The sequence below is a fragment of the Homo sapiens genome, chromosome 1, assembly GCF_000001405.40.
Source record: "Homo sapiens chromosome 1, GRCh38.p14 Primary Assembly".
In the NCBI taxonomy this organism is placed as follows: Eukaryota; Metazoa; Chordata; class Mammalia; order Primates; family Hominidae; genus Homo; species Homo sapiens.
The window spans coordinates 11,829,905-11,840,093 of NC_000001.11; the positions used below are offsets into that span (position 1 = coordinate 11,829,905).

General features: G+C 51.5%; 1 protein-coding gene across 3 annotated transcripts in view, besides 1 other annotated feature; it reads left to right on the forward strand.

Annotated features, from left to right (window-relative positions):
- The window catches only part of CLCN6 (chloride voltage-gated channel 6), a 36,940-nt gene that overhangs the window by 23,714 nt on the left and 3,037 nt on the right, over positions 1–10,189 (forward strand). For all 3 annotated transcript variants that reach the window (NR_046428.2, NM_001286.5, NM_001256959.2), the window contains 9 exons: positions 3,611–3,734; positions 3,973–4,126; positions 4,332–4,491; positions 4,580–4,686; positions 6,063–6,249; positions 7,095–7,252; positions 7,439–7,595; positions 8,431–8,538; positions 8,631–8,756. Coding sequence is in view for 2 of the 3 variants with exons in the window: in NM_001286.5 (NP_001277.2) it covers positions 3,611–3,734; positions 3,973–4,126; positions 4,332–4,491; positions 4,580–4,686; positions 6,063–6,249; positions 7,095–7,252; positions 7,439–7,595; positions 8,431–8,538; positions 8,631–8,756 (1,281 nt within the window). In the remaining variant the exon portion in view is untranslated. The remainder of the gene's footprint in view (positions 1–3,610; positions 3,735–3,972; positions 4,127–4,331; positions 4,492–4,579; positions 4,687–6,062; positions 6,250–7,094; positions 7,253–7,438; positions 7,596–8,430; positions 8,539–8,630; positions 8,757–10,189) is intronic.
- Positions 8,681–8,870: an enhancer, noted in NCBI's record as "active region_178". NCBI's record gives its function as "activates an Ori minimal core promoter by ATAC-STARR-seq in GM12878 lymphoblastoid cells {active_cell/tissue: GM12878}" and the evidence as "EXISTENCE:reporter gene assay evidence [ECO:0000049][PMID:35858748]".

A 10,189-nucleotide genomic window follows, 5' to 3' on the forward strand; every position in this document is an offset into this window, starting at 1 on the left:
CTTGCCTGAAGGGGCCACAGCCCAGAGGCTCAGCACCCACCTCATGGCCTCTGTGACTATGACAGTCACTCTTGAGAGGAAGAAATATCTGTGTCAGGGCAAGGAGGCTTCTCTCTTCCCAGCATCCTCTGCCTCTTCCCGGCGTTGGGTCCTTTGTGGGTGCGCCACCCTCCTGCACTCCTCCTTTTCCCTTCTTGGGGGGCGCGATATTTTCCAGAGGCTTTCCCTGAGGAGTGGTCCCATGAGGTAGTCCGTGGAGCCTACTCCACGCTGTGTTCTTTCGGTCCAACCCGGAGGCTCTGAGAGCTACACCTGTGGTTCAGTGAGTCAGCCAGATGTGTGATTCCAGCCCTTGGCTGCAGACAGGTGAGCATTCTCTAAGTGCGGTCGGCCATCCACATTTGTGGGTCCTGCATCCATGGAATTACGTAGGGTCAACCAACTGTGGAGCAAATATATTCAGGATGCAAAACATAAAAAAGAACAAGACAACAGTAAAAAATAATGCAAATAAAAAACAGTACAGTGTAACAATTATTTACATAGCATTTACATTGTATTAGGGTATTATAAATAATCTAGAGATGATTTAAAAGTATATAGGAGGACCTACATAGGTTATATGCAAATATACACCATTTTATATCTGGGACTTGAGCATCCCTGGATTTTGGTATCCATCGGGATCCTGGACCCTATCCCTGGTGAATACTGAGGAACAACTGTACTCTTTCCTTGTTGCTTCTCTGTAACCACTTGAATCTCTCAGATCCCCATTGGGGCCCTTGTCTTGGAGGACAGCCTCTTCAGTGTCCCCAGTTATATGTATATATTATATATATATATATATATATATATATACACACACACACTATATATACACACACACACACACACACACACACACACAAACACACATTATATATTTCTGTTTGTTTTGTTTTTTTAAGACGGAGTCTTACTCTGTTACCCAGGCCGGAGTGCAGTGGCGCGATCTTGGCCCACTGCAACTTCCGCCTCCCAAGTTCAAGTGATTCTCCTGCCTCAGCCTCCCGAGTAACTGGGATTACAGGCACCCACCACCATGCCCAGCTAATTTTGTATTTTTAGTAGAGATGGTGTTTCACCATGTTGGCCAGGCTGGTCTCGAACTCCTGACCTCAAGTGATCCACCCATCTCGGCCTCCCAAATTGCTAGGATTACAGGTGTGTCACCACGCCCAGCCTGGTTTATATATATATGTTTTTGTTTTTGTTTTTGTTTTTGTTTTTGGCAAAGTCTCACTCTGTTGCCCAAGCTGGAGTGGAGTGGCAAGATCTCGGCTCACTGCAAACTCCACCTCCTGGGTTCAAGCGATTCTCCTGCCTCAGCCTCCCAAGTAGCTGGGACTTCAGGCACGCACCACCATTCCCAGATAATTTTTGTATTTCTAGTAGAGACGGAGTTTCACTATTTTGGCTGGGCTTGTTTTGAACTCCTGACCTTGTGATCCGCCCACCTCGGCCTCCCAAAGTGCTAGGATTGCAGGCGTGAGCCACCGTGTCCAGCTGGTTTATATATTTTTAAAGGGTTGAGAGAAAAAAAAGAATATGCCGCAGAGACTGTACATCACTGGCAACTTCTAAAATATTTACTGTCTGGCTCTTTATGAAAAAGTTTGCCGACCCCTGTTACTAGTTATTCCCAAGCCTAGCTCATTACCAGACAGATACCTTGATGCGTGTGATTTAAAGCATACAAAAAACGATTCTGTGGTCAAATGGGCTAGGAATTAAATATGCTTCTTTATCTTTTTAGAGACAGGATCTCACTCTGTCACCCAGGCTGGAGTACGGTGGTGTGATCATAGCTTATTGTAACCTCAAACTCCTGGGCTCAAGCGATCCTCCCATCTCAGCCTCCCAAGTAGCTGGGACTACAGGTGCATGCCACCACATCCAGCTTATTTTTATAGAGACAGGATCTCACTATGTTGCCCAGGCTGGTCTCGAACTTCTGGCCTAAAATGATCTCCTGTTTTAGGAGTGCTAGGATTATAGACACAAGCCATAGCACCCAACCTAAATACGTTCCTTTAGTACAGAACTTCTAGGGCCTTATTCCCATAAGTGTTATAAATGTTTGGTGTCTTTATTGTGTACCAGATATTCCACTGAGTACTTTATATGATTTCATTTAATCCTTATCAGCACTGTGCTTGCTGGCCAGTAGCTGTGCCCCCATTTTACAGCTAAGGAAGCTGAGGCACAGTATGGTCTTGACCAAAAACCTTCAGCTAGTCATATATAGTGAGAGGGTAGGTGTTGTTACCATTTTATAGGTGAGGAAACTCACAAAATGAAATATCCTTCTCAACGTCACTAGAGAGTGGCAGAGTTTAGAGACAAAGCCATCTGATTTTGGAGCCTGTGCTCAGCTTTTAGCAGACACACTGATTTCCAAGAATTGCTAGGATGTTTCTCAGTGCAGTTGACCACAGGACTCTCTGGAAAGCCTTCAGGACTGAACTTCCTCCAGACAGTTTGGGAAACACTGCATGTGTCTATTATGAAGCCATCAGCTGAGCTCATCCCCCGTGCACTCCACAACGCTGAGGCTCTGCACATGGCTCACCAGTGCCAGGTGCTGCCAGTCAGCAGTGCCGTGCTGTTTGCACAGCAGCCTGCATACGTCTATATTGCCCAGCCCGTTTCACCTGGCGGGGTCACACAAACCACCCCCTGGTATTGTTAGCACGTCCACATAATGGCATCTCCACAGCTGTGTCATCCAGAAGAAACCCATAGCCTTGATTAACCTTTGTAATAAGACTCCCTATTTGCATGCACAGTGATAGGTGTGAAGTACAACCTTGTACCGTTGTACACTGTCAACTAGAAAATAAAACAGCACACTTGAAACACCCTTGCCTTCTAGCAAAGATCCCATCTTCCCACACAGAATGATGGCAAGAAAATGAGGTCTAAAATGTGTAGAAGTAGTAGAAGAAATAATCTCTTTTTCTGTTTGGGTTTTGTTCCCCAGATGGGGTCTAGAAGGAGAGGCAGCCTGGAGGACTGGGTCTGCTCTCCAGGCATTATGGAGGTGGGTTTTCTTTTGCAGCAAATTCAGGTGCTTTTTTTTTTTTTGTAGCAAATTGCAGCAAAATCAAAGGCTTTTTCTATTTGGAACCAGAGTTGGGGCTTTCGGTCAAGTGGTGCCCTGGATTTTCCTCCCCAGATACCTGTCAACTCCCAGTCACTTGCTCTCACCTGCCTCATATTCCCCCAGTCCTAGGGCTCTCAGGCCAGGCTTCTAGCAGCATCACTTAGAAAGTTAGCACCGGGAGAGGAAGCAGAACCAAATTCACGGTGAATCACGGCCATAGTGACATTTTCATCATGAGTGTGGATGAACAAAAGGCCCTCATCCCGATTCTTTCATCTGTGCATTCAGAATGTGAAGAATACACTTGCCCGTGTGGCTGCCGTTGGTAGAGGTCAGTTTTTGGCCTGTTTGATTGATGGGGAAAGCTGTGCAGCCACCTGTTTTGGACCCGGCTGGAGACATCCCACTTGAAGACTCAAAGTCAGGTGTCCTTGTACTGATTTTCTGATTCCTTCTTCTCAGGTCACAGAAGATGTGAATTCAAGTATCAAGACATTTTTTTGTCCCAATGATACCTACAATGACATGGCCACACTCTTCTTCAACCCGCAGGAGTCTGCCATCCTCCAGCTCTTCCACCAGGATGGTGAGTGTCTGCACTGCAGCCCAATCGTGGGTGATTGGTGTCATCTCGGACACAGCCAGGCTTGCCCTTCATTCCAAGCAAGACCAGGACTTCTTTGTAACGCCCACCCAGACAAAAGATTGGTTTCTGCCTCCTGTGTTGGAAGGGGAACTGGTATGGGGTGTGGTCGGGCCCGGTAGGTCTACTGGGCCTTGGCAGGCATCCGGTAGTGGGACTCAGGTTGGCTCTTCCCTTGCAGGTACTTTCAGCCCCGTCACTCTGGCCTTGTTCTTCGTTCTCTATTTCTTGCTTGCATGTTGGACTTACGGCATTTCTGTTCCAAGTGGCCTTTTTGTGCCTTCTCTGCTGTGTGGAGCTGCTTTTGGACGTTTAGTTGCCAATGTCCTAAAAAGGTACTCTGTGTGTGTGCGTGTGTGTGCGCATGTGCATGTGTGTGCACGTGTGCGTGTGTATGCATGTGTGTGCGTGTGCGTGCGTTGATGTGTCTGTGCCCATGCATGCACATATGTGCATAGGCACAAGAGTATGAGCTGTAGGTCCTCCCCACAGCCTATCAGTGTGGTTCAAAGCCATGTTCTCGGTGTTTTCCTTCACTAGCTACATTGGATTGGGCCACATCTATTCGGGGACCTTTGCCCTGATTGGTGCAGCGGCTTTCTTGGGCGGGGTGGTCCGCATGACCATCAGCCTCACGGTCATCCTGATCGAGTCCACCAATGAGATCACCTACGGGCTCCCCATCATGGTCACACTGATGGTGAGCACACTCCCTCCAGGCCCCTGTCAGGCTCAGGGCCACGTCCGCCCCACAGGACCTATTTTTAGGTCTTTGCTTTGTGTTTCAGGTGGCCAAATGGACAGGGGACTTTTTCAATAAGGGCATTTATGATATCCACGTGGGCCTGCGAGGCGTGCCGCTTCTGGAATGGGAGACAGAGGTGGAAATGGACAAGTAAGGCCATGATTTTGCTCATGTCCTAGTTTCAGAATGTATAAGCTCTGAGGCCTAAGGAATGTTGTTATTAGGGTAGGAAACAGTAACTCACTTTTCTTGGGCTGAAAGAAGCAACACACCCATTCCTGAGCATGTGTGAGAATGTGGAGCAGCCCATGGGCTGGGGGCTGCGGGGGCAGGGCAGGGGACACGGGCACTGTGGGACTGCAGTGGGCAGGGCCTCTTCGTGGTGGTTTGACTCCCATGGCATTCTGGTTAGATATGAGGTGAGGTCTCTGGATCAAGTTCGTGATGTGATTGAATGTTTAAGGGTATGCCAAGCCCCAGGAGTGAGAATAGCCTGTTTCACATGTGCCCACCAGAATGCCCTACTGCCAGCCGGGATTGTTCTGGGCATAATCACCTCATAACCCACCTGCTAATCCACAGGTACCTGGGCTTCCTGTGTCTAGATAGCAGGCAAGGCCCTTACGGGCTAACACGGGGGCCAGCAAGCCGTTTCTGTGGAGGGCCAGACAGGAGTTTATTTTCAACTTTCCGGGCTGTATGGTCTCTGTCACGACTACTCGACTCTGTCATTGCAGCAGGAAAGCAGTAAGCGTGACGGACTTGATCAGTGGGCTACAGTTTGCTGTGCCCTGATCTAAAGGGGGACCCAAGTGCTGTGTTTATTTTATTATTATTGTTTTTCTTTTTTGGGACAGGATCTCACTCTGTCGCCTAGGCTGGAGTAGGGTGGCATGATTATAGCTCACTGCAACCTATGCCTCCCAGGCTCAAGCGATCCTCCACCTCAGCCTCCTGAGTAGCTGGGATCACAGGCGCGTGCCACCACACCTGGCTAATTTTTAACATTTTTTTTATAGAAATGGGGTTTTGCTGTGTTGCCCAGGCTGGTTTTGAACTCCTGGGCTCAAGCAATCTGCTGGCCTCGGCCTCCCAAAGTGCTGGGATTACATGCGTGAGCCGCTGCACCCAGCCCACCCATTTACCCAGTTGTGGTAAATGCTGTAGCAGAATTAGCAGTTCAGGGGTAGTATGTGGAGCGTGCTGCAGGGCACCGAGGAGGGCGTGGCCAGCCCCTGGACCAGCAGCCAGGGCTTCCTGGTGAGGGGATGTTGCTGTTGAGCTGAGGGATGAGCCCGAGCCCATCAGCCTGGTACAGCAGGGTACGACATTCCAGGTGCGGGAACAGCATGTGTCGGGGGATAGAAGTACAAAGGAATGCATCGGGTTTGAGGGAGAGCTGGGGCAGTTCAGAAGAGCCCCCCACCCCGCCCGTGGTCTGAGCAGGGCTGGAGAGCCAGCACAGCTTGCTCCCAGGGGCCTGCGGGCACTGTCATGAGGCTGGATGACTTGCCCTCCTCCCCCAGGCTGAGAGCCAGCGACATCATGGAGCCCAACCTGACCTACGTCTACCCGCACACCCGCATCCAGTCTCTGGTGAGCATCCTGCGCACCACGGTCCACCATGCCTTCCCGGTGGTCACAGAGAACCGCGGTAACGAGAAGGAGTTCATGAAGGGCAACCAGCTCATCAGCAACAACATCAAGTTCAAGGTAAAGAAAACGGCATGAGAGGAAAGGCAGGTGAGAGACAAGCGGTCCCGTCTCACACGGCTTAGTGCTTTGCCCACCCCTGGCTGGGGTGGACTTACCGGCTCTCAGGGGAAGTTGGCACTGTTCTCATCACATGCGACAGGGAGAGTAGATTTGACAGCAGGGGCAGCTTTATCAGGCCGTGAAGATGTGTGTGCGTTCTTGCCGCAATGAGCATGTGGACAGATCTGTTTTTCAAGTCAGCAGCTTTCATGGTTTGTTTACCATGTGAGAGTATCAGGGAGAGTTCTAGAGATGCCAGCAACAGAAATGGACTTCGACCTCCTTAAGAAAGAGAAAGAAATCCACAGGAAAGCTCAGGACAGCTGGGAAAGCTGAAGGACCAGAACCATGTGCTGTGGGGAGCAGTGCAGGGTCTAGCAGACATCCCTTGGGTACCAGGAGGAAGGAGCACTGGCCCTGGGTTCCTCCTGATTCCGATTCAGAATCCAGGGAGAGGGGGTATCCTGTTGCCTCACTTGGGTCATGTGCCACTCCTTGGCTTTGGGGGCAGGCACGTTGATTGAAAATTCTATCAAGACAGGATGTAGGAGATGGCTTGTTCCCCTCTGGAGAATCAAGCTGCTCTTCCCAGATTAAAGGAAACCACAGAAGCTGCAGCCAGGTCCTAGGGTTCAGGCTCATTTGAACCACCAGCCTGAGCCACTCTTTTGAACCTCAGCCCCATTAAGTTCCTGCGTCCGGATGTGCTTCTGACCCTCCCTGTCACCCAAATCCTTAAGCTCCATCAGTACTGCTGTGTTCGTTTGCCCATGCGCAGTAGCCTGTGGCCTCCCCACCCACAGAAATCCAGCATCCTCACCCGGGCTGGCGAGCAGCGCAAACGGAGCCAGTCCATGAAGTCCTACCCATCCAGCGAGCTACGGAACATGTGTGATGAGCACATCGCCTCTGAGGAGCCAGCCGAGAAGGAGGACCTCCTGCAGCAGATGCTGGAAAGGAGGTGAGAGCCTGGCGGGGCCCCCACTGCCCGCAGGGCTACACAGCGGTGGGGTGAGCCTTTGGCTCAGATGTTGTGAGGTGGCTCCTGAGTTTCCTGGGAAAGTTGGATGGGGAGCGGGCTGGGAACATGGATCAGAAGCGCTCCCGCTGAGGGTATCCCAGGCAGCATCTGGTTTTTGTGTAACAGATACACTCCCTACCCCAACCTATACCCTGACCAGTCCCCAAGTGAAGACTGGACCATGGAGGAGCGGTTCCGCCCTCTGACCTTCCACGGCCTGATCCTTCGGTCGCAGCTTGTCACCCTGCTTGTCCGAGGAGTTTGTTACTCTGAAAGCCAGTCGGTAAGTCTCTCCGAGGCAGAAATCAGCCAGGCCAGACCTGACGAAGCTCGAGGGGTTGGGCGCTGCCGGCGGGCCGTGAACAGTGCCATAGGGAAAGCTGAATGCAAGGCGAGAAGTGCAGAGTGGACTTAGGGGAGGAGTCGCCACAGCCGGGTGGTGAGAAGCAACAGCGGTTTATTCCTTCATAGTTCAAGGCCAGAAGTACAAAATCCGGGTGTCACCAGGGCAGCGCTCCCTGGCTCTGGTGCTGTCCTTGCCCCTTCCTAGCTCATGGGAGTTGCCTGCAGACCTTGGTGCTCCTGACTGTGAACACAGCCCCCATCCTCGCCACTGTCATCACACGGCGTTCTCCTGTGTATCTTCTCTCCTTTCCCTAAGGACGCTTGTCACCGGATTTGGGGCCCGCCCTAATCCAGCATGGGTTCATCTGAACTCGGTCACATCTGTAGAGACCTTGTTTCCAGAAAGGTCGCATTCATAGGTACTAGGGCTTAGGACTTGGCCATATCTTTTGGTGGGGGGACACATTCACCCCCCAGCCACTTTACTTAGTGCTTTCTCACTTAAACTTCCTAATAAGCCATTTGCATCTCATGAATCAGGAAGAAAGGGAGTGCAGACAGATCAGGGGACTTGCCCAGGGTGCCACAGCTAGGACTTGGCCAAGGACTTGGTTTGACTGGAGAGCTCTCACTCTGGAGCGCTTGCTGCTGCTGCACCACCTGCCTCAGCAGCCTGGAGCTGGGCATATTCAGGCATCAAGGGGAGGGGCTCTAAGGTGACCCTGCTGGCCACTGCTGCCTGAGCACGGACAGTGTCTGGGTTGGAATTGCAGAGCGCCAGCCAGCCGCGCCTCTCCTATGCCGAGATGGCCGAGGACTACCCGCGGTACCCCGACATCCACGACCTGGACCTGACGCTGCTCAACCCGCGCATGATCGTGGTGAGAAGGGCTGCCCCGGCCTGTCCCATGCGGAGCTGCCTCTTCATGCCGTTGGCGTCTCAGGCAGTCAGTGACACGTGGTCTCTTTGCAGGATGTCACCCCATACATGAACCCTTCGCCTTTCACCGTCTCGCCCAACACCCACGTCTCCCAAGTCTTCAACCTGTTCAGAACGATGGGCCTGCGCCACCTGCCCGTGGTGAACGCTGTGGGAGAGGTGAGCGAGGCCCCGGCCCTGCCCCCACCTTTGAGAGAGGATCCCCTAGCCAGGTGCTGTTTGTGCACCCAGGCTTCTCACCAGAAACGTAGGCATCCCACCAGGAGGGGAGAGTGTGGCCCAACACTAGCTTTGAACCCTGCTCGGCTTCCGTGCACTCGGGACCCTTTCCCCTGCCTGCCAGCAGATGGCACCAGCGTCCCACTGGCCGTCCTTTCCAGCCAGAGCCGCGCCTCTACCAGGCTGTGTCTTCCTCCTGAAATGTTGCTCTTCACTCCGTACCACTGGTGTTCCTTGGTTCTCCACCTGCGTAGGGATTTGCGCATTAGATGAGAGAATTTCAAGCAAAATACTTTGAGTTTTACAAAGATATAAAACACCTAGTAATTATTGCTGCAGACTTTCCTTTTTTCTTCTTTTTAGAACTTCATTATTTTCTTATTACACAAATATTTTCTTATTACACAAATATGATTTCATTGTAGGAAAATACAAAAACACATATGAGCAAAAAACAAGCAAAAACCAAACCCTCGTCCCTACCCTGTCGCGGTAGCCCTGGTAACTTTTCAAGGCCACCCTCTCAGTCTTTTGTTGTTGTTGCTGTTGTTGTTGTTTTGAGACAGGGTCTCACTCTGTCACCCAGGCTGGAGTGCAGTGGCAAGATCTCGGCTCACTGCAGCCTCGACCTTCCAGGCTCAAGCAGTCCTCCCACCTCAGCCTCCTGAGTAGCTGGGACCACAGGCATGCGCCACTATGCCCAGCTAGTTTTTGTATTTATGGTAGAGACACGGTTTCGCCATGTTGCCCAGGCTGGTCTTGAACTCCTGAACTCAAGTGATTCACCTGCCTCGGCCTCCCAAAGTGCTGGGATTACATGCGTCAGCCACTGCACCCGGCCTCAGTCTTTTCTTCTATGCGGCACAACCCTGGCATGCATAGTGCGTACTTACACAGGTTTTGTTGCAGTAGGTTAACTTATGTCCCTTGAAATGTAATTGCCAACTACACTGACAGAGTCCTAACATAGTTTATGACGTGGCTTTGGAGTTCCCAACAACAGTGACACGTGGGAACCACTGTAACGACCTGTAACAAATGACTCCCATAGGTCACTTTGCAAGGTGGTGAGTATGAGGCATGGCAGGGGTCATAATCTCAGGAGACTTCAAGGGCCCCACCGCTTGCACATCTGTGAAGCAGGCTGGTCATGATGGGAGCTGAGCGCTGAGCATGTGCCCTGTGGAAGGACATTTTAGTTCAGATGCCAGCTGGCCCAAGCCCTTTTTGGAGCTAACCTTGTCCCCTTGGCCTCCAGTGTGTGAGCCCTCGTTAGCTGTTTATCCCAATCAAGCTGTGTCTGGCTGTGCACTATCCAGGCCTCCACATTCTGTGACAAACTAACAGGGCCGGCTCCTGTCACTCCTGTTCTC